A 24,755-nucleotide genomic window follows, 5' to 3' on the forward strand; every position below is an offset into this window, starting at 1 on the left:
TTGAAGGCATTAAGGTATTTTGGTCAAATTGAAGGCATTAAGGTAGTCAGTACATCCCTCAAAGCTACAGTGGAATAAATAATTATTTCATGCAAGTTTGCTATGTTCCTGATGTCTGAAACAGGTTAAGAGTAGAAAAAAGAATGGCCCATATGCTGTATTCTTTACTCTTCATCACCAACTGATCAGAAATAACATCAAATGTAACCTCATTGTCTGATTTTTAGTATAACGCAGAGCAAGAAATCTGAGCTGTGTAACACACCCAAACTTCTACTCAACTACTGTTTCCTGACACTGAAACAGCCAATGCCAACTTCTGTGGGCATTTTCATTTATTAAATGTTGTTAAGGAATGTATTTAAGATTTCTTTAATTCAAAGCAAATTTTTACTTCTAATTACATGAATTTCCAAGAATTTATATTCTGTCATCTAGTATTTTTTTACTGGCAGATTTACTATGGTTTACAAGTGTAATATTTTGGAATCTTCTTTACTACATCATTAGTCAATCAATTTTAATGAACTAGTGATGAGATATAATGTATCATATAACTTTCATCTAAGTTTTAAAGGCTGTATGGCATTTCTAGAGATATAATGCTGCTTTAAATTTGAAAAAGCTAAAGTCACTGAAAGAGTCTAATTATTAAGTGATTGGTTATCTGAAATATTAATCATATTTTAAGAAAGCATAAAAATAGTAAGTAAAATAAAAAAGGCAATGTGTAACCAAAATAAGTATCAGTCCATTGAAAATTGAAGAAGTCAACCAGTGAACTGGCTCTGTTACCTCTATTCAGCCAAGCTGTCAACTTGACTGCCTCTTTTCTTAATCAACTGAGTCTCAAACCGCAAAGAAAGCAATTACATAACCATCAGTCATTCAGTTGCCAAGATTTATTTCTATCAAGTTTCAATAAGGTTGTATTTAGTTTTGCCTTTACGGCAGTGAAGGCTTATGGGATACACTTCTTTCTGTATTAATAATAAAAATCATTCCAATCAAGACAATCTGCAACTTAATGTAGAGAAAATCAGAGACCCATAGCACTCAATACAGAGAACAATGTACATTTTGTGACATAAATATCACATAATAGACAGATGGAACTCTGAAACTGTAACCTTAGGCTATGTTTAAACTGAATATCAATTGCTTATATCAATGATTCTTAAACAGAAGACAGCAGACATGTCCTCTGTTACTAATGTCAGTGTGTTTTATCCCCAAGGGACGCATTCCTTAAGTATACTGGATTGATTGAGAACCACTCCTATAGATAATAAGTATACTTGCATTTAGCAATAAGGGAAATAAAAAATATTTCTCTAATGTAAAAGTGTATAAACCAAGAACTTTCCAGTGAGTCAAAATAAGATTTAAATGTACTATAAGTGTCCAGTCATGTTTGGCATGATTGAAATATTTGGTCATGCTGATTAGTTTATATTAGTGTTTATATAACACTAAGGTAATGGCCATATGCCCCTTTCCAAACCACCCTAATCAGCCCCTGCAAAAACAAATCAGGACAACAACAATGGAACTGAACTACTATGTCACCAGTACATCTATCTGTTATTGACCAGGGTATCTTGATGATTAGCACAGTGGCAAAGACATAATCGGTACTTAATAAATATTTGTTGAATTGATAAATTTGGTTGAATCTGGATAAAATTAGTTACTTCCATAATTGCGATTCCATTGTGAATTATAAAAACTGACAACTTTTTGTTGCTCAGTGCTCCCGTGAATTTTATGAATAGAAACAACGATACAGTGATAATAGTTTACATTGATTGCCCTGTTTTATTTGTGTATTTACAGGCAAATGGACACAGTTTTGTACATATGGAACATGAAAAAGCTGTATTACTACTGAAGAGTTTCCAGAACACAGTAGACCTAGTTATTCAACGTGAGCTTACTGTCTAAATATTTTTTATAAATAGTGAAGATACGTCTAGCCAGACCTAATGTTCAAAAATAAATTTATACATAGAAACAAATTTTGCCAATTGCTGGACCAATGGCAAACATTAGTGCCAAATGTATAATACTATATGTTAGCACTGACCATCCTTAAAAAATGTTAACTCTATAAATATGATGTTCATGTGGTTATGTATTAGTTTTAATTGTCAGCCTCTGGCTGTGCATTGGTGCAGTTTTGTTTCTGTTTTTGTTTTTGTTTTTAATCAAATAAGTTTCTTCTCAAAATGGATTTCATATAATTTCGGAGCACGGAAGCACACACAAGCTCTTTATGAATTCTGCTCTCCATCAGAAACACTGCCTCAAAGTTGTATATGCCTTTATATAGAAAATACAAATATAAAGAATTGTAATTCCCATAAAATATTTCTAGCACAAGGTATATGTTGGCATATATACAAAAAGAATATAGAGAAAAACAATATTTTCATAAACTAAACATCTCAGATAGAGAAAAAATATATCTTAAAATAAGACTTTACTATATTGAATCTTTTTCAATAAAAATTACATGATAATGCCTTATGAAAGTAACTGTACATATGGTATAAAGTGTTTATATTTGGTTCCATATTCATTTGCTAAATTCTCATGACACAGAGTGAAATATTTCATAAATTAGCCATTTATCTCTGGGACCCAAATAAAAATAGGATGAACTAATTTGTTCAATGCCTTTAGCTAATTACAATACATGCAGAGTTTAGAAACAGACTAAAGGTCATTGTAGTTAAGTCTTTTTCACCACAAATTTAAGCAGTGGATGATGGGTGGCAGGAAAGGTATTGCTTTATTTCTTTCAAGTTCATGTTGATTATAAACTGTAGCCCCTGTGATTTCTTTACTTGTAAATGTGGAATTTATTTGTGTGTTGCTTAATCTAATTTGCTGCTTTTTAAATTATTTAAAACGAATTTTGGAAATTGATAAAATTTATCATTACGAAAGACTGCTGTTAGAAAGTTATGGTAGGTGATTTTAAATCCTTGGTATTTAAATATGAAACTTCAAATATAATTTCTCAGAGCTGTGGTCTACCTGTATCATTAATTTCAATGGCTGTTTTTCTGGGCAGAAATAGATAAAATACTTTTTTTCCAAAAACAGTTTCAAGGTATGTAAAATCCTGAATGCTTTTTCACTGAAGAGAAAGACAAGCATGGTTAATGTAGAATTATTTACTTTTCCATTGAAACTATTTTCCTGCATAAATGATCAAAATTTATTTTATAATCCTTTAAAATACTTATCTTTCATATTAGTCATTAATTTAATTACAATATTAATTTGAATTTCCAGGATAATTTCCCGGAGTTGGTTGCATGCATTATCTTTCATAATTTTACATAGTTCTTTTGTTATATAATGAATTTACTTTACATGCTAGTGTTTCAAGTATTGTATGAGGATTTTCACAATAGTATCACTGAATGATGTCACCAGAGCTCTGAGAATAATATTTGTAAGTTAACTGTTTTATGGGGACATTGAAAATATTGTATTTTTGTAGGGTCTATTAAAATGAGTGTCACTTATTAGAAGTACAGTGGTATTTTTTGGCAATAGAATTTGTCACTTGGGAGAAAATAATACTTCACTTTATAGATGATGCACTAATTTTGATGTTGCTTTATGTCAGGGTGACATTATACCATGATTTTATAGGGTTTGACAATTAGCTAATGATTAACTGATTGGCCTATTTAGTATGTTTCCCAGAAGTAACTTTTAAATGCATTTTAATATATTGAGAGTTTCAGATGAGAAATGTCTTTCAGAGACTAATTTTCTTTGTTGAAAACTCATGTCAAGCCACCATATCCAGATATTATAGGATGATCATCATTAATCAAGACAGAGGCCTTTACTGGCCTCATAAGATCACTTAAAGAAAAAAAACTCATGGCTGTAGTTTGGTGGCAATGAAACATCTGAAATCATCCCATCAGTTTTTCTTAATCTTTTATGGGAGAAGTGGGAGAAGAGCCAGATATAGAACTGCCCCAAGTCTTTTTCTTATGGTTTCTATATCAAACCCAGGGCTTCAGGAGATCCTTCTAAGACACACAGCTGAAAGGATCATAATCCTAGTAAACACCTCTGCCACTCCTGATGTGACAACATTGTCCTGAGCCACTTCTTTAGTACTTCCTGTTCTGCAGTTCAGAAATGAGGAAAAGAGAAAAGGGATCCTTGACCAACTGGAAAAGTTATCTGATATGCCAAAGCACCTCACTGTCAATAGTACTGCCATGTTGCATACTGAGAACAGGCAGGTAATAATGAAAACAGGCAGGCCAGGCGTGGTGGCTCACACTAGTAATCCCCACACTTTGGGAGGCCAAGGTGGGCGGATCACTTGAGGTCAGTTCAAGACCAGCCTGGCCAACATGGTGAAACGCCATCTCTACTAAAAATACAAAAATTAGCTGAGCATGGTGGCGGGCACCTATAATCCCAGCTATTTGGGAGGCTGAGGCATGAGAATCAATCGCTTGACCTGGGAGGCGGAGGTTGCAGTGAGCTGAGATTGTGCCACTGCACTCCGGCCTGGGCAACAGAGCGAAACTCTGTCTCAAAATAAATAAATAAATTATTTATTTAAGTAGAAAAGAGGCAATTTTTTTTAGGTTGACTGAATAGAATCACTAAACACTTGAGGGGTATAAACCTCACTAATTCTATAGGTGATGAAAACCAATTATACATTGATTTTTGATTATTGACTTTTTGCAGTAACTGATTTTGCTGCCTGAAATTAGAATCTGGTTATTTTAACAATAAAAAAAAGTCAAGGGTGTGCCTTTTAAAAAAAAAAAAGAAAAATCAATAACAACAAAAAGAACTGGAATTCATGATGGCTCCAGTAGATTCTACCTCTTGGTCTTTAATTTTTATTGGACTGTTTCTGAGGAAGGTGTTTATATGTGATAAGTCAGTAAGATCTAATGGAGGAGACTGAGAAACATTAGAGGTAGAAAGAGCAAGTGATGAAAATTACTAGTAAAATTGCAAATTTTGCAAGACAAATAGATATTAGTGGACAATTTTTAAAACTATTTACAAGGCTCATAATATTTTGTCATTAAAGCTCTGCTATGATAACTCCAGCCTTCTGATGACAACACAGTAACCTAAACATACATAGTAACTCCAAAGTATAAGTGCATTTTTGACAAGGAATATTCAAAGTCAGTATGAAATAAAACATTATGCTAATGTATTGCTCATTGAAGCCTATAAAAGATATGTATCTCCATTACTTAGAATTGTAATTATTAGGTTGCTGAAAAAGTAATTGCGGTTTTTACCATTAAAAGTGCAGGCAAAAACCACAATTACTTTTGTTCCAACCTAGTACATAGATGTAAAACAATCTCAGTTGTTTCTGGACCTTACCTTGGATCACGACCTTTGAGATGGAAAACAGCTTTGAGGAGAGACTGACAAGCCAATGTTAATTTGCTCTTAATCTTAAAGATGATTGCACACATATCACTAATGTAATTACTTATTTAAAAATAGGACTGACATATCTTTCAACTGGTGAGCTAAAGAGAGAGGGCCGGGCGCGGTGGCTCACGCCTGTAATCCCAGCACTTTGGGAGGCCGAGGCGGGCGGATCACGAGGTCAGGAGATCGAGACCATCCCAGCTAAAACGGTGAAACCCCGTCTCTACTAAAAATACAAAAAATTAGCCGGGCGTAGTGGCGGGCGCCTGTAGTCCCAGCTACTTGGGAGGCTGAGGCAGGAGAATGGCGTGAACCCAGGAGGCGGAGCTTGCAGTGAGCCGAGATCCCGCCACTGCACTCCAGCCTGGGCGACAGAGCGAGACTCCGTCTCAAAAAAAAAAAAAAAAAAAAAGAGAAGATTCAGAGGGGAGAAAACATGGAAGAAATTAGATTTATATATTCAAATATTAAGTGAAAAGTATCTGAATTTGTCAAAATGGTTAGATGAAAGAAACCAAAAAAACCATTTTATTTTTAATCATAAAATCTATTTAATATATATTTAATATCTATTAATATTTAAGCTTTCCAGTGTAAAGCTTTGGAAAATGTAGTGTGCTTGCCACCTTGTCTTTCCGTTTAGTATGTTTACTAACTGTTAAGGACAGTCTTAACGCTGTCCCTAACCAATTTCTACCCCTCATTAGCACACCGATCAAATATGTCTGATGAATACATTCTCATCAAGAGGCAAGAATACAACATAACCAGGTCAAAAGCCATACTGAAATAGGACTACCACTCAAAGTCTTTGATAAATTCGATCAAACAACATATTTGACTAATTTGTGATATGCCGACCAAACAGCAAGTTTATTGGCACACTGGGTCAATAAAAAGTTATGCAAATAATGAAATCCAATAGGTTAAGAAGATGGGTCCTTTATCTAGTATAAAGAAAAGCGGGGTTGAAGTTCCACTGTAGTTCCTTTCACAGAAATGCTAAATCTTACTGAGCTTAACTAAATGTTCAAACTCTGGGTTGGTAATGTGTCCTCTCTTCACACTTGTAGCTACCTGATCATCTGGGACTTGGGGGGCATCTCCAGGTTGGTGATCACTTGCATGAACATTTTTCCTTAGCAATACAACCACCTTCTGTTAAGAAAAGCATCTTGCCTTGGCTCAGAATATTTCCCATCACCCACCAACACCATACCCAAAGAATACATTATAGCAAGAAAACAGAATGTGGGCTGTGGACAAATAGATGTGCGCTATGTATAGAAAGCATGTGGGTCACTATTACAGGAGATCCTGAGTGTCAGCTCCATTTTGATCTAAACTGTTCAGGAAATCTATTTTCCAAGATGCACCACTTGTACAAACTAAGGTAGATGCAATCAAGTTTTCCAGTCATATCCTGAACCTTCTGGGGGCATTTCTGTTTCTAGCGTGTAAAACTGACCTGTCTTCATTGCTGCAGTTGCTGCTATAGATCCGTCCCTCCAACTCCCCATGTTTTTCCAAAGGCAGTGGATGTCTGCTTCTATCCTGCTGAAACACAGATAAGAGACCCTCTTAGAGTGATAGCTGTTCGGAGAGCCTTGAGTATCAACAGATGGTTACAGCTCCCAATTTGGGAGGAACTTTCTTGGGTAACGCAGGAACCTGGAGTAGTAGCATTAACTAAGGCCCAAAGATGGAGTGCTTATAATGTTACTGACAACAACAAACAAAGCCTGTGTGCAATGGTGGGGGTGGCAATGCCTTTATAAAACTGTTTCTGCTTCTGTTTTTAAAATGTTGGGTTTTGCTGTGTTGAGGAACTTTCTCTAAGCCTCTCAGCTTCTTACTGAGACAGGTTCCAATCTTCCTTACTTTCAACACTGCCTGCAAGAGAATGGTTTGGAAACACTCCCTGGTAAGGATATAAATTGCACAGCTTCTACTTTGGAGAATTCAGAGATTTTTGAAAAACCGAGGGGGCAAGTCTACTCTAAGTTTTTATTTAAAAACATACAGTTAAAGTATAGGAATATTGAGTCCCTTGGGATTTTAACCATGTGATTATGTCAACCTTCCCTAAGAACAGTTCTATGGGAAGTAAGGAGAAAAGACCTGAGAGAGGAGAAAATTTACTGGTTAACTTCAGAGGCATTTCTTCAGCTGGTAGAGTCTTCCCAGTTGGGTTCTGAGCTCATGCTCTTTGTAACAACACACTGAGCACTAAGCAATGTAAGAAATGGGCCTGGATTAAGGCATGCAGAAATGAGAAGGATACCTCTGCAGCTCTGTCAATACTTCCACAAATTGTCTGCAAAACACCCCTTTTGTGCCTAATTTTGTTATGGCAGCACCTCAAAAGGTGGAAGGTTGTGAAATTCACGCAGCATTTATGTAAACATTCCATGACTCTTATTAGTCTACGGTTGGAACCACTATGTAGTCCTACCCAAAGACAAGGTCTGGGTCAAATTTCCACAGGTGAGATTTTGAAACCTGGCATAATTTTCTCTTCTCCTTTTTTGAAAAAAAGACTTTTATGTGACTTTTTCTTTTCTTTCTTTTTTTTTCTTGAGACAGAGTCTTGCTGTGTCACCCAGGCTGGAGTGCAGTAGCGCTATCTTGGCTCACTGTAACTTCCACCTCCCGAGTTCAGGCAATTCTCATGTCTCAGCCTCCTGAGTAGCTGGGATTACAGGTGCGTGCCACCACACTGGGCTAATTTTTGTATTTTTAGTAGGGACAGGGTTTCACCGTGTTGGCCAGGCTGGTCTCGAACACCTGGCCTCAAAAGATCCACCTGCCTCGACCTCCCAAAGTGCTGGGATTACAGGCGTGAGCCACTGTGCCCAGCATTTTTTCATTCTTTAAGCTAGCATAGATTTCACTGGGTGTAGAAATTGGTGTTGAAAGAAAGTTAAATGAATCACCCAATCTTTCTCTAGTTTTGAAAGTGTATTTTTTTATCACTGTTGCACAAGTGTATTGTTTGTGCTTATTTTTTTTCCTTCTTTAAAATAACAGGTTGAATAAGCAGCCTAACAAATAGCCAAGTATCTTTACATCCAGAGTAAAGTATCTTAGTACAGGGAACTTTATTTTCATAGCAAACTCTTGTACTTCCTCCACAGGAAAACATTTACTGTAGCTGAATCTCTGAGGCCTAAAGTATATTATTCATAAACTGAAAACATTTGGAGACATTTCATTGAAGAATATAACAAAAACATTAAATATTATGATTATAAATATTAAAATAAATATTTGTTGGGCATCAACTACATATCAGGTACTATGAGGGATGTAATGTGGTCCCCTCAGCACAGAATCTCACAGTCCAGAGGAAAGATGAGAGAAGTTCCACATCAAAGACAGTACAAGGCAATGTGGTGAGTCCCTTTATTCCTGCCCTCAACCATCCTATTGCAAAAGGAAATCGAGTCTTTATCTAGTCAAATCTGTTTCAGTTTGAGCATGGTTTTTTCCATTTGGAGCTACAGATAGGTCTTCTGCTGGTTCTTGTGACCTTCACACAGCTCACATAAAGAGTGTCACGAAGCCGGGTGCGGTGACTTATGCCTGTAATCCCAGCACTTAGGGAGGCCGAGGCAGGTGGATCACTTGAGGTCAGGAATTGGATACCAGCCTGACCAACATGCTGAAACCTCATCTCTACTAAAAATATGAAAAATTAGCCGGGCATTGTGGCGCGCACCTGTAATCCTAGTTACTGGGGAGGCTGAGGCAGGAGAATTGCTTCAACCCAGCAGGCGGAGGTTGCAGTGAGCTGAGATGGCGCCACAGCTCTCCAGCCTGGGTGACAGAGTGAGACTCCATCTTAAAAAAAAAAAAAAAAGTGTCACGAAAAGTGTGAGCTAGATGAATATTTGCCAGGATTTAGGGCAACATTTGATAGGCTAAACGTGGCAAGTGTGAATGCCTTGCTAGACAAGATAAATAGCAACCAGAATCTCTTGAATCTCTGGAAGAGGAGCGAGAATTTTGCCAATTTGTTCTAAAGAGGAAAGGAAATGAAGAAAGGTGTTCCTCAACTTGGTCCAGCACTGAGTCTGTATGCCCCTGACGTTACGGGAGAAGGAGATGGAATTCAACACTTTAAAAAGTGTGGGGGGGTTGCTTGAAAAGAGTCTTCTAGGTTCAGCGGCCCCAAAAAGTCCCTCCTATGACCACTGTCAGGGAGCGTGGGAATCCATGCTGTCCAATGTTAGAATGACCCACTCCGAAATGCAAGGAGTTGAACAATCATTCAGCTGGCTGCATTTCATGTTTATTTACTTCACTTTTTGGGTGGAGAACATTTTCACTACACGCTGCTCAAGTGATCCCCTGAAAATACTGTTTGCATGAGATTGGATCACACATACCATGTATCATCAACATCTATTCTTCTAAGGAGTTCTGATCCTCTGAATCTGGAAATTGTTTTCTTTTCTTCACCCTATGCATACTCAGTGTTTTAGACACATATAAATCCTTACTTTTCCAAGTATTCGCTGTGTTTTATATTTCAGCTTTTGCCCACACTATCCCTCTACTGGAATGCCTTCCTCTCCCTATTCCCTTTCTAAATTATTAAAATCATATGCAGCCTTCAGAGCCCAGCTCAAACAGCACTAGAACCATGAAACCCTCCCTAGTCTTCATGGAAAAAAATTTCTGTACTCAGCACTACCATATTAATTTTTTCTTATGTTTTTTAGTATCTTTCCCATTCTGCCTGAGATCATAGCTATTTGGTGTTTGTTTTTCCTATGAACTTTAAGCTTTTTGAGAGAGAGGATCAGACAATACTTAACAAAGGACTTCTAGACAGAAGAGCCTCAGGAGAGGTAAAATGACCAGATGTTTTGTTTACCATATATCCTTAATGCCTGTCATAGTGTCAGAAACATAGTATAGGTTCTCAATAAATATTTGTGTAATTATTAAGTGGATGACAGGCCTGGCACATAGTGCACTTTATAAATATTGAACTAAACAGCAAATTGATCTTCAGTTTGTGTAACCTTAAACTACCAACCTTTCATCTTCTCAGTTGACTCAAAATTCCCAGTTAAAAAAAATTTCTCCTTTTTAAATCAGTCTTCCTCCTCTCTTCAGCATTTTTTCTAAGACATTTTTGGTCTTTTCTGCTGTGTTTCAGCAGTTACATTTAATTTTCCTTTTGTGTGTTCTAAGGACCTTAACACTATCCAAAAAGTAACACCATTCAAAAAGTTTAAGAAGTGGCTTTTATTTAATTGGAGCACACCATATCTATCCTTTTGATTTGATTGGGTTTCCTTTCTCTTTGAGAAGAAGTCATGCACATTGTCACTAGATTACGTTACCTAAGCAATTTTTACAATTTGGATGTGGAGGGAAGAATAAAAGATGTCATGAGAGAGACGAGGCTACGGAAGTGTAGTTGAGAGAAAGGGGTCTCCACCTACCTATTTAGCTCTAAATTTTAATCAAACTGCTGCCAAATGCTGCCCGTCCTTTAAGTAGATAAAAGAATAGTCTGTCTACAGGCTGTTGGCCACAGTTGAGCATGACAATGTTTACACACTGCATTTTGGCATCATTTCATGAATAGATCCCACCCCCTATATCCCTAAAGTGAAGATGTCATATAGTTCAGCCAAAATTATCAAGCCACTGTAAAAGCTATATAATTGATATGATTAACTATTTAGATAGAGCACAGAAAAAAAATCAGGGTTACCTTGACAAAACCATGTTACCCCTCCCAAACTTTTATAGAGATAGAATCTGGCCTGTTGATCTCAAAGTAGAAAGAAAGCATGCTATTTATACTGCCATGATCTTTGGCTTCATTAGATCCTTCCCCTGAAGGGACAAAAAATGGAATCCAGCCCCTTAAAACAAAAATGATATCTAACTGGGAATCTAATGATATCTAAGACCCCCAGGTTGGTAAGCTCCTAACCACAATCCCTTTATTACCTCATGGGACCTTAATTTCCTTTCAAGTAAAACATTTCTGTCCTAGCTTTCTCACAAAACTATTTCCCATGTCTTTCTATTTGGGTTTCATAGCTAAGTAACTCCAGAATTGAGTGAAATATTCCGAAACATTAAATGTTTTGTCATTGACTCTTTTACTTATACTATTAATATTAATTACTCTTATTCTACCTCTGCTTTTTAATTTCTTTGTATAAAGAGAACTTGATAACTATCAAGTTAATTATGTCTTCTTCTCATAAAATTTTTGATTTAGAAAGATTTAGATAAAGTCATAGTATATCTTGAAGGAAACAGCCACCATTGCTGTCTTTGATAGCATGATGCCTCAAACTCTCCAGGGGCCTACTCTTTGGTATCTTATAGCCCAGTGTCTATACATTTACATGGGTAAAAGAATGCCAATGTCTCTTTGAACAAAAATAAATGAAAAATGAACTGGAAAAGTGAAATATTAATTGAGAGAGTGACATTATCTTAGGATAGTAAGAATATTTTAGAATAGTAAGAGTACTTTAATGAAATATTTTTAAGTAAGAGCATTTTAGAATAATGAGAATAATGAGTGAGTAAGGAACAAGAACAGACTAGGGCTGGGAAAGAGGGGAATTAATAAGTTATTAAGGAAGAAAGAATGAGAAAGACAAAAGAAGGGCAATAGAGGACTGATACAGAGAATCAGAGAGGAACTGGATAAAAGAAATCAGATTCAGGCATATCCTCCAGTCTCTTCGTTCTGGTGACCATGCCCCTTCTTCAGACAGCCCTGAATTCCCTTCCTCTCTCTCTGCTCTCTCTTGGCCAGAGGAGTAATCGTTCAGCTCTTCTTGGTTTCTGCCTTCCCTCCTGCTCTTCCAGATGTCAAAAGAAGAATTTACAGTGAAAAATAAGGTGCATATTAGAAATATATTTAGTTTAATTGCTATTCATTTCTAGAAACTATTTTTGTCTAACGTCATAGGTAATGCTTTAGTCATACAACTTCTCAGAACAAGGAAAAAAGTTATCTCATTTTTAAAAATTACCAGAGTACTTTTCTTTTTTCTTTTCTTTTCTTTTCTTTTTTTTTTTTTTTTTTTTTTTTTTGAGACGGAGTCTCACTCTGTCATCAGGCTGGAGGCTGGAGTGCAGTGGCACGATCTCAGCTTACTGCAACCTCCGCCCTCCGAGTTCAAGCGATTCTCCTGCCTCAGCCTCCCGAGTAGCTGGGATTACAGGCGCCTGCCACTGCACCCGGCTAATTTTTTGTATTTTTAGTAGAGACGGAGTTTCACCTTCTTGGCCAGGTTGGTCTTGAACTCCTGACCTCGTGATCCACCTGCCTCGGACTCCCAAAGTACGGGGATTACAGGCGTGAGACACCGCGCCCGGCCGTACTTTTCTTAAATAAAGACTAATGTCAGACAGTGTGGCTACAGGTAAAAGCTCTGTGGAGAAAGGAGCAAAATTATTGTCCTATCATAAGACAGAAAGGGACCTTGAGAGGATCTGGTTCATTTGTCTATCTTCAGGGAAGGATTCATGCTATTCTTAAATTCCTGGAGCGAAGGGGTGAACATTTCCCTCTGTAACCCACCCTTATAAAGCAACAAATTGTGTTTCATCTCAATAAAATCCTCTAGTTTAAATTACTGCGTTCAACTCTGACAAATACTATCCTCATATTTAGTTGTACACATCCGCATACTCTTTTAAAGAAACATGTGTCTGCAGTTCAGAAGAGCCACCACTAGATGGAGACCTCATATCTACATTTTAAATCCCAGCCTTGGCAATTCTCTGGCTTGGGGGAGCACAGTCCGATTTTTGTTGTTGTCGTGGGTGTTTTTTGTTTGTTTGTATTGAGACAGTGTCGCTCTGTCGCCCAGGCTGGAGTGCAGTGGCGCGATCTCGGCTCACTGCAACCTCCACCTCCTGGGTTCAAACGATTTTCCTGCCTCAGCCTCCCGAGTAGCTGGGACTACAGGCATGCACCACCACGCCCGGCTAATTTTTGTATTTTTAGTAAAGACAGGTTTTCTCCATGTTGCCCAGGCTGGTCTTGAACACCTGGGCTCTATCGATCCGACCGCCTCGGCCTCCCAAAGTGCTGGGATGGCCTTACACAGTCTGTTTTTATGCCCCTTGTGCTGATACAATTGCTAACAACACCCCTTTCCTTTCTCCTTTGAGAAAATTTGAAACAATGCTCTAAATTTACACAATTTAAGAAAAAAACAAGAGCTTTGAGCTTATTTTAGGCAGTTTATATGTTTTTTTACTAAACCTCTCAGATTGTATCAATCACCCAAAACCTAATGAGACAGAAACCACTTTCTCAGTGAGGCTTGATTGTTTAAAGTTTTGATGTTCCTTAATTGTTCAGTTTAATTATTATACCCACCAGTTTAATAGTTCTTCTCTAACTTGTGTTTTCCAAATATTTTGCTCCTATCTCCCATTATTTTAGCCACACTTCCTTCAGGTATGCCCATTCCAAGTATGTGGGAATAGATTTGTCTCAAGTTACTCAAAATTTATTTTTAAAGTTAACTTTCCAAAACTTAAACATCAGGAACTGTGGTTAAGTTTGCCTAGCCTTCTTTATGTAATTCTAAAACTAGTCCAATCTGAATATGTGTGCATCTGGGTATAGCTTTATTTCCATCTGGCAATAACTAGGCATCTACAATAAACGCCTAATTTTTCATTTTATTTATGTGTATGAGTAATCAGCATAATATGACAATCAGATTTTATTTTATTATGAAGTGAATAAGAAATGTATTTCGAAATGTATTTCAAAATGTCTCTCACAAAGTGATCATTGGATTCCCAAGGTAGTTTGCAATCTCCCCAGCCTCTCTCCTTTCAGTGGGAATATCTGGGTGCTGAAGGCAGAGAACCCCTGGCGGCCTTGGTGACATGTGTCCTCAAGCTATTTTGGTTCTTCTTAGTCATTTGAAATTCCAGGGCCTCTGATGGCTGGATCATTGCTAAAAAGGCCAAATGTTTTTGTTTACTTCCTCTAAGCTAATTATATCCTCACCCTCACAGCTTAGCCAGCCTCCTGGTCTGAGCTTCTTCTTTGCTAATTCCATCAAAGCCCTACTTATATGGGTTTCAGGTGTTCCCCTGCCAACCATTTAATCTTTTTTTCTTCCAACCCGGAGCAAAGGTAGAGGGAAGACAAGGTGTTCTTTCCCAAAGTTTATGTGAAGCCATTTATATCCTCTGGTGTTTTCCTCCAAAAAAAACAATTTCCTTCTAGCCACATGATCACCAGATACTAATACAGAATACTCTTTCTTAGCAAATTCAATTTAACCTTCTTTGGGGGTTAATATTTTGTAAGTTCTTTCTGACCTCAAGCCTGCCAATTTTAGTGCACCATTTTGGGTTTGTTTACCAAGTGTTCTTCCTCTCTTTTCAGAGAAGTTAAATATCTCCTTAACAAATTTAAATTGTACACAACAGTGCCACCCATTTTAAAGCAAATACGGCAGGTGTCCACCATTGTTTTGGATACAGCTTTTGAGTTTTTGATTTGCCTGATGTTCTATTTCATCTTTTTTATTCCTTCTATTTTCCATAACCTTTTAATGATAGGTTTAGTTGTAAAATCCAGAACTATTTAAATACTAGAATGAAAATTACATAGAATTTTACTGAAGAGTATAAGAGAAAACGTCTTGAAAGTTTGTATGTATGTATTCCAGTTGCGCTTTTTATTTCTTTTTTCCTTTCTTTTCTTTTGCACTACCTCAGATTTTTGGTATCCACTATTAGCGAAGTATTTTTTTCTTTGTCTTCTATGGATAATCTTAATTTTTTATTCCTAGGAGCAACCTCTAGGTCAGTGCTTGCTATCCAGCCACTAGCATAGTTCCCCAGGAGCAGGCTATGATCATCTCCTCAAAGCACGGGGGCTTGTGGCTTATTCTTTTCACTTTTTTACCCATCTCCGTGCCATACTGTAGAACAAACATCATTTTTTTAGTTCTGTCATGAGGTAAAGATGTAAAGATGTAAAAAGCTCTGCTTTTAGGTACAACAAATGGAAATATCATCTAGGCTGGGTTGGGGTGCAGGACCCCCAGCAGCTGTGGGAAGAGAAGAGAGCAGGAGAAGCTGTCACTTAAAATGCACTGAGATCCTTTTGAAACATCTCACGCACTCCTCCCCAACCCCGACTCCAAGGGTGCTGCTTGTCCAACTGTGTCACCTCCCTGACAAATAAGTGAATATCCATCATATTCAAGACTTCACTTTTATTGATGATCATTAAGCTAGAATCTGTAAAAGAGAAAGTTGTTAGATAGTGAACAAGTCCCATTCTCTAAAAGTGATTTTTTCTCTAGGATATCATCATCCAAACTATTCTTGCCCTGTAATATTTGTCTATACTGTCTTGATTGTTTTAAACCAGCCATCTTTGATAGCCAGTTTTGGGATATAAATCTTCAGCCATACTTGTAGAATCGTTTGACTAAGCAACGGGTATCTTGCACTTGATAGGTTCTCACAGTCTCATTATGATCAAGACAGATATTCTAGCAGGACATCACTGCTATATTCTTTATAAAACCATGAATGTTGCTAGCAAACAGTTCAGGCATTTCTTTGTGGCCATTTCCCAGAGAAATTCAAACTTGGGAATTAATATCTCTCTCTCTCTGTGTGTGTCTGTGTGTGTGTCTGTGTGTGTGTGTGTGTGTGTGTCTATATATCTTATCAGGCAATTTTTTTTTTTTTTGCATTTCCACGTTTCCCAAAAAATGATAGTTACTATCCCTGTCACCTAGGGCCCTAGGTCATCATAAACTACTCAAAGTGAAGGGACTATATTTTCTTCTTTTGCTTGGTCTTGCCATAAATATGCCCCGCAGGTTCACCTATACCCCAAAATATATACTTATATTTTGAGTATTCATCCAGACCTGTAGGTTTGAATCGAGAGATGTTTAAGTAATTCTCTTGTAAGTCTGCCTCCGGACCATTCTAAGGTTTGTCCTCTAGCCAATCTATATGTTTATCCTTTTTTAAAAAATTATTTAACTGTTAAAACAATTTGCCTTTTTCTCACTGTGCATTCAATTTAATCAACAAATGTTAATGAACAAGGGGTTATGTTCAAAATTCTATTATAAGAACAATGGAAGATATAAATAAGCCATGGTCCTACCCCTCAAGAAACACAGTCTAGTGGGGAGACACACAAAAAGTCTAATAAATGCTATCGTGTAGGTACAAAATATGAGGAAAGAACACTGTATTGTCACCTTCTCTCACAGTTTAATAAAATGGCAAATGCTTTCTTTCTGCTTTATTGCTTTTTTAATGCCTTTTTTTTTTTTTTTTTTTTTTTTCTGAGACAGGGTCTTGCTCTGTCACCCAGGTTGGAGTGCAGTGGCATGATCATGGCCCACTGCAGCCTTGACCACCTGGGCTCAAGTGATCCACCTCAGCCTCCTGAGTAGCTGGGACTATAGGCATGCACCACCACTCCTGGCTAATTTTTTATTTTTTGCAGAGACAGAGTCTTGCTATGTTGCCCAGGCTGGTCTCGAACTCCTGAGCTCAAGTGATCCTCCCACCTCAGCCTCCCAAAGTGCTGGGATGATAGGCATGAGCCACCATCCTCGGCTCTATTGCTTTTATAATATGACCCAAGGAACGTTTTCTGTTATCTCAGGAAGGAAAGTTCTTGTCCCTTGTATATATGTATCTTGTCAAAAAGGACAAGGCTCAGGTGACAGTGGGGACGTAAATAACTGCAGTATCATCCTGAATAAATCATATCACGGAGAGATAGTCACAGGTTAGCTAAGCTCCAGCTTTTCACTTTTCTTGACTCTGTCTTTCCAAGGAGTAACCCTTTTGGGTCAAAGTCAGAGGGGGCTTGCTGGAATCAAGGGCAGCTCCTCCTTTCTGGAGGAAGGAACTTCATCTTAAGGCTTGATAACAAAGGCTTACTGTTCCACTTAAAGGGATCAATCTGAGGGAAGAAGAGAAGTTAACCTTTAGTGACCCTTGAAAGCTTTAAAATAATTCTTTTGTGTTTTAGACACCTAAGAAAAATGTACGTACATCTGGTGGACTTGCATATCTTTAACACTTATCATGTACCTACATACAAGGAAAACATTAGTCTTTACTGTTAGCAAACACTCCACCACTGGGGGTTGCTTTGTGTTTAAGTACCTAATAGACCCACCAGAGTTCAGTAAGAAATGCAACTTGAACAGCCCCTGAGATAAAATTTTCTAGGAAGTATAAAAACTAAAGAATGCCTGGAACTATGCAGACATAGATCAAGTCTCATGCATGTCATTTAGACAGACAGCTGAAATGCTGACATGGCCTATCCAGCCAGAGCCTTCAATTAAGAGTTCTCCAATGTTGACAATTTCAGCTGCCCTAGCAGCCTCTCTAAGCACTAAGAAGTATAGCCATCTAAATCCTTACAACTTATTCTAAGGGAAGAATCTCTTTAGAGATTACATTACACCAGCAAGAGAATATTAATAGTCCATATGGCTTTATTTCCAACAAAATCCCAGAGTTTTTGCTTGCTCTTTGAGGTTAAAATCAAAGATTTTTCACTCAGGATTAGCCTAGATGTAGAACAGCGACTGTATAATAAAGTTGAGTTCAAAAAGTGTATGAATTCAGTTATGGTCTGGAAAATTAGCTGCCATTTTGTGATGAAGTGTTTGGTTTTTCCTTGTAGAAACTTAGTGTCATTGCGCATCAACTTAGAAAATGTGAATTGATTAAAAATATGTGATGGATTGTGCAGCATGCTTACATTTGAAAATGGAGATTGTGCCTTTAAATACTTAATCAAAGGACTCCTGACCTTCAAGTACCAGTTTGGGCATATTACTGGAGATCCAGGTTGAAAGGTATTGAAAAAAAAGCTCTGTATCTTTGTATATTCAGTTGTCAACATGGAGAAGCCACCTTTTAAAAAAGATCAGTTCTGTAAAGCATAATGCCTACTACACAGACATCATTATTCTACTTAAAAGTCTTTTTTTAAAATTCCAAATACTTGTGGTAGTAGAAAGCAATAAATATTCTAAAATGAGGGATATTGGTCCTTTTGTGACTGAGCTATATGATAAACTAAGGAAAACTACAGAAGTTATGTCTATTAACTCTTTAAGGTACATGATATAGCAAATAATCATTTGTACAACCTCATAGAAAGTTGAGAGGATTAATCAAATTGTTTCAAAATTTTTAAGGAGCCAAATTTAAATTCTCAATACCCTATGAGATTTTTTAAACTATTTTAGATTCTTACCAGAAGAATGCATAGATGTAGTAAAACCATTAAATACAGTAGTATCTGGTGGCCTTTCTGTGTGGAGGAGCTCGTTTGTCCAAGGTATGATCTACCAGTGAGAAGATCAGTGCCAGGTCACAGAAAAAGCTAATCATTTTTAGTTTAATCCTGACCAGCTAGTCTTCCTCCAGGCATCAGCTACCTGATTTTAAAGAGACCATATTAGAAATGAAAAGCAGCAGTCTCTATCATATGTTAAATTCAAAGGCATAGCTGCTCGTGAAGACCCTATTATGTTTTATTTGCCTATCGGAGAAAGAGATCTGCCTACCTGCCTTTAGGAAAAAGCAATGCTTTATGTAGCTTCAATTAGTCCTGCATCAGGTTATTCTAATGCTTCCTACTGCAAAAACCAAGCCCACAAGTCTCCAATCCTAAAAGTCACTAGAATATTGATATAAGGAATTCTGTGTCAGCAGTATCTCAGTATTCAAACCTCTGTTTAGGGTCCTGCATGTACTATCAAACAGCAAGTGATAGAACATTCAGGCGTTTTATTGGATTTCAGAATTCAGATTCAGAATTAAGTACTCTTGGGATAAAGGAAATTAACGAGCTTTTGACATTTCAAGAACTCATTGAGATTGTCAAAGGCTTCAGTAATGAACTCTAACAAATAGATCCAGAAGTCATAAGTGAGAAAGAAAACAAGCATGTCTAGTGAAATCTGTCCAGTGTACGTAACACTGCACAAAGAGCATATTTTATTCAGACCATTTGGATTCAGATGTACCCTAAAGACAACTATGCTATAATGGCTTGTCTCCTACTTCCTGGCCTCTAGCCCTACCCATTGCCCAGGTGGACGTTATGTTTTTAGTTTTTCCTTTGTGGGTGAGGGAAGAAGAGGACATCAGGTGAAGTGTGCCATTACTATTTGAAAACTAGCTCTGCAGGAAGGGTTAAATCAAATCCTTTACAGGGTGACCTTCCTACATCTCCTTAGAGCAACTGCATTTCAAAATAGGCCAAAGCTGAAGTCATAGGAATGAGACATTAATTGTAGGTTTTCAGGAAAGCTTCGGAGACACGGCAGGTACAGTCTCCTTAGAGCCTTTGAAAATACAACATGTAGGTCCTTCTCAGATTATGCTGAAACTCCAAATCCTTGTTAAAGGTTTTCCTGGACTCCTACAGTCTGGTTTGATCAGTTTATTATTAAGTACTGAATGACAGAGAAGGGTACACAGGGAGGACTTGTATCACATGAAGTAAAATAATTATTTCCTTAATGAGAAACTTAATTCTAGGGTACTTACAATAGCTGCCTTATTGGGGGAAGGGAGGCATAGATTTGCAAATGGTGGGTTTTTTCGTTTTTTTGTGTGTTGGAGTAATTGAAAAGATACATCAAGCAATAATAAACTAGATGTGCAATAATCTTGTCGAGTAGTATGTGCTGGTTTTGGAAAGGTGAAAAGAAAATTGTTACATCAGGCTGCTTTTATCAAGCTAAGCATGGGCATGCCTTTCCAAAGGGTATATTTGATCCTACAGTTAATTTTAACATTGGGCTGCAAGCTTAACCTCATCAGGAGTGGAATTAGATTTTACAAAGTTCCCCTTATCCAAACTACAGCACGCTTACTACTTTCTCCTTCCATTTTCCACACCTCAGCCCCCTAGGACCAGCTACTGGTAAGTCATTTTGTCCATTTTCATTGATCTGGCCACATAAGGAACATCCTGTTTCTTTAAATCCTCAATGCTTAAATTGCCATGTAGAAATCAACTCCCTATCAATTTTCTACATTTAATCCTTGGCTTCTTGTCATATTTTCATTTTTCTGCACTGGTTCCCATGGCAACAAGTCTGTTGGCAGAGAAAGTATGACTCTGCTTTTAGCCTTCTGCACAAGACAAAATCCTTCTGGTGATCCTCAGGCAAGTATAATATAAAAAGTCAGGAATTGACTACAGTTCCCTTGGCTAATGCCTCTAATCCTTTACTCTCTTGCATGCATTTTCCACCTTATTCCCAAACCAGGCTTGAGAAAAAAAGCATTCAAGGGCCCTGCCCAGTATCTCTTTACTGATACAAGTATTCAAAGGCCCTCCTATCCAATCACAGCCACAAAGACTGAATATTTTGGTTCAGATGGCTTTCCCTTCTCCCTAAGTGTCAGTGACTTAACTGACATAAATGCATAATTAATGACAAGGACCACTGGGAGCAGCATCGAGAAGCAACTTTCAGTCATTTTTCTATAAACAACTTTCCTCAGTTCGCAACTGAGGTGTAGCCCAGGGAATAAGTATGTCCTGAATTGAGCCTTAAATCAGTGACTAATAAGGCAATGGAACACTCAAGCAGATTTTCCTCTAATGAGTAGTTAAGTGGCACAGGAGGAGAGGCCAAGGAGTCATCCCAGAGTTCTAAGCTCATAAAGAGGAAGAGATAACAAAAGATGTAGATAAGAGGACATTGTTAACTGGTGGCTGCAAATGAGCAAGGGAGCTTCATTCAGTTGGGACAATTCAGGGTTCAGGTACGAAAAGGGTATGAAGCCTACTGAAAAATAAGGAAATGGAGCATGGAGAAAGAAAGGGTTTTTAAGAGTTAAGTCAGTAGAAAGGGAGCCTGCAAATGAGACAATAGCTTCATGCAGACTTTGGCCCAACTCTGTCTACAAATACTTTTGCAAATAATGTTTCTCTTAATAAAATGATATATTTTGTTTTGAACTTTGGAATTCCATTGTGGCTTGGCACTAAATTATAGGCCTAGCAATCCTAAATCTCCTATGTCCTCAATATCTAGAAACAAGCAGGAACTGTTTGTCAGAAATTAAACAGGACTTATTTGAATGTGCTTTAAAAAAAAAATCAATGAATTCAGGGGAATGAAAATACATGTTAGAAATTAAAATGTGGTTATCTCAGCTATAGTTAAGAAAATTATCAAATGTAAATGATCCCTTTTTTGCTGGATCTTATAAAATATGTGATACTTAAGTACACTGAAGTTTTAAAGTTAGCTGCTTATATTGTACAAAGATATTTTTGGCTCTTTAAAGGTTATTTTCCTATATTAAGAAAAGGTTTCTTATATTGAAAACTTTTATGGTGACTCAGGTTTTGTGTCTATGTATAGGCACACATAAATAGGAGGTGTTTTTCTTTGCACATTTGTTTTGCACAGCTAAAATAATGAGGTTAAATAATGCCCAGGTATGCAGGTCAATTGACCTTTTTAATAGCTTAACGAAAGCATTTGACAAATGGACAAAAGAAATCACATTGTATTTCTTTGTATCTCTCCATTCCTCTTACCCTTCCCCAACCCTCTACTAAAGAATATTTCTTATTTAGTCAGGAAATCTTATGTAATATTTTTGGACGGTCCATAGGAAAAGCAAGATGAAACTCTCAGGCAGACAACATAAAGCAGCTCCCATATCTGCTAGAAAGGTCATTAATTTTCAGAATATATTGTTGAAATAATTTTTATTTTCAATACTTGTAGTCTTTCCACTCAGAGGACTCTTATTTGGCTTGAATGTGGAAAAGGCATCTGGTTCAGGTCAGTAAGGACTGTTGTATGTAAGTTTTACTCTAGAAAATTTGGTTTTAGCTTTGATGACACCTAGCGTCAGTGGAATGCAATGAATGCTTAATACTTCGGCTTTATAATGTTTGGGCATTTCTCTTTAACATCCTCAAATACACTTTCATCCTTGAAAACACAAGCCTATTTTCTGTTTGAAATGAAGAGAAAGGTAATTGACAGATAAACAGATAGTTTTTGTTTGAAGAGCCAATCAAGTTTCTCTTTGTACTCAGTAGGGACTAAAGGAAGCTTAAGGATAATGACATTGTCTTCATATGAAGAAGAAATTTTTTACTAGTGGAAAATTAGAAGTAAATCTACCAAATTCTGTTTGTAAATTTTAAAGACCACCACAAAAGACCTTGAAAAAAGTGAAACTACTGCAAGATTACTGTTGCTTATTGAAAGTAATAATACAGTTTTATTTTTTCCACTTTATAACTGCCCAAGGGCTCCCCCAACCAGCTATATATAAGAAAACCATAACATGAACTAGGGTCTTTCTATTCAAAAAAGAAATATTAAACTAACATAAGCAATTCTGAAGGAAGACAGTGGTAGGTTTTCAGATGGTTTGTTAAGAATTATATGTAAAAGGATACTAGATATTATGTTTTGGATGTTTTCTAAGTATCTATGAAAATTATTTTTTCCTAAACGATTTCATAATTGATTACTTTTGACCTCAGTTATTTTGGGGCATAATCCTTTTACTACTCTATAAAGAAGTTCTACTTCTACCTATATGAATTTGTATTTTCCCATATGCCAAACACACACACATAAATTTTCTTTTTCTCATTTCAGCTCATATAATTCAGTTAGTGAAATATTTCACTCTTCTGTAAGTTTAAGAAAAATTCCTAAGCAGTGATACAACTTTGGGTCGCTATTTTAGTAAAATGAAGAGTCTCTAGACTTTTTTTTTTTTTTTAATGATCTCTGACTTCACTACCATATGTGCAGCACAACAGTGACATCTTAAGGCCAAGTAACCAGAGCTCCTTTAGCCAGAGAAAGAACTTGAATTGGGATCTGATTTCAAAGAAATCCCATTATATTATCAAGTCGTTTTCAAATTTACAATATTCGACTGGTAAAGAAAGTGCTTCTTTATGACTTCTTTTGCAGTCTTTGTGAACCTTTTAATGTGCAATAGTAAACATTGACATTTTACATAGACATATTGTATATTAATGCATGCATTTCACTGCATAGTTTATTGACACTACCCTTGTAAAGCTTTTATGGAAGAACCAACAAGCCACAGCAGTATAGCAAAAGAGGCTTAATCTTTATAAATTGGGGCCTTTTCTGTCTCTTTGCTAGCCTAGGTGGCTGTATACAAATTCGGGTGGGAGGGGGCAGGAAACACCTCTTCACATTTAAGGTTTTCTACTTGGGTGTACTCTAGCCAATTCAAAACAAATTGCTTACTTTAATAATACAATTTTACCATTTTATAAAAAAAATCAAATCACAACATGTTTAACTGAAATGGCTGTATTGTAATTAATATTTTGAGATAATTGTGATTTTGAGCTTAAATTATATATAAAAAATTGTCATTTTTGTATGTGTTAAAAAGACTACTATATCACAATTAAAAGTACTTTTTAGTTGAACTACATATTGATGTAAATAAAACTGAATGAAGACATATTTACTACTTTATTAACATAGATCGTGAATGTACTTACTGGTTTTTTTGCAGTATGAGACCATAACAACCTTGAAAGCTGCTTCATTTTATGTGCAAAGAAGTCCTATGAATCTATATTTTAAATTTACTGAACCAGTGAAATTAATTACTGTCAGTTAATTTGCAAATGCAAGCTGTATTCTCCAGTTTTATTTTATGTACTGACACTAATTGGTAAAGGTGTACAATGTGATTAGAATGCATTTTGAAGATGCTTTCTGTACAGATACAAAATACAGGGACTAAAATAATGCTGTGCAGTGTATAGCAGAGCCATTTTTCGGCTTTGGTGTACTCAACTTTTTCAGTATTTAAAAAAGTGTTTTGAATAACATAAAAGTCTCCTTATTGTATAAATAATAAAATGTCACCTTATTGTAAAGTGTCTTTTGTTTACTATCAAAGCAGACCTCGTAGTCAGCAACAGAGATGTAATAAGAAAAAGGCATGTTTTTGTTTTTATTTTTTATTTTTTTGAGATGGAGGAGTTTCACTCTTACCCAAGGCTGGAGTACAGAGTGGCGCGATCTCAGCACTCTGTCATCCTCTGCCTCCTGGGTTCAAGTGATTCTCCTGCCTCAGCCTCCCAAGATGCTGAGATTACAGGCACATGCACCATGCCCGGATAGTTTTTTTTGGTTTTGTTTTTTGTATTTTTAGTAGAGACGGGGGTTTCACCATGTTAGCCAGGCTGGTCTTGAACTCCTGACCTCAAG

General features: G+C 36.8%; 1 protein-coding gene across 6 annotated transcripts in view, besides 2 other annotated features; it reads left to right on the plus strand.

The window, feature by feature from the left end:
• LRRC7 (leucine rich repeat containing 7) overlaps positions 1–24,421 on the plus strand; it is a 576,443-nt gene extending 552,022 nt beyond the window's left edge. For all 6 annotated transcript variants that reach the window (NM_001330635.3, NM_001366839.3, NM_001370785.2 and 3 more), the window contains one exon: positions 1,837–24,421. In NM_001330635.3, the coding sequence (NP_001317564.1) occupies positions 1,837–1,944 (108 nt within the window). In that variant the 3' untranslated portion in view covers positions 1,945–24,421. The remainder of the gene's footprint in view (positions 1–1,836) is intronic.
• Positions 14,203–14,497: an enhancer, noted in NCBI's record as "tiled region #9273; HepG2 Activating non-DNase unmatched - State 22:ReprW". NCBI's record gives its function as "activates a minimal TATA promoter and a strong SV40 promoter by Sharpr-MPRA in HepG2 cells {active_cell/tissue: HepG2}" and the evidence as "EXISTENCE:reporter gene assay evidence [ECO:0000049][PMID:27701403]".
• Positions 20,821–21,322: an enhancer, noted in NCBI's record as "NANOG hESC enhancer chr1:70606447-70606948 (GRCh37/hg19 assembly coordinates)". NCBI's record gives its function as "activates a minimal SCP1, AML or CMV promoter by ChIP-STARR-seq in primed H9 embryonic stem cells {active_cell/tissue: H9 hESC(primed)}" and the evidence as "EXISTENCE:reporter gene assay evidence [ECO:0000049][PMID:30033119]".
• Positions 24,422–24,755: the final 334 nt, after the last annotated feature.

Source organism: Homo sapiens, chromosome 1 (genome assembly GCF_000001405.40).
Source record: "Homo sapiens chromosome 1, GRCh38.p14 Primary Assembly".
Lineage (NCBI taxonomy): Eukaryota > Metazoa > Chordata > Mammalia > Primates > Hominidae > Homo > Homo sapiens.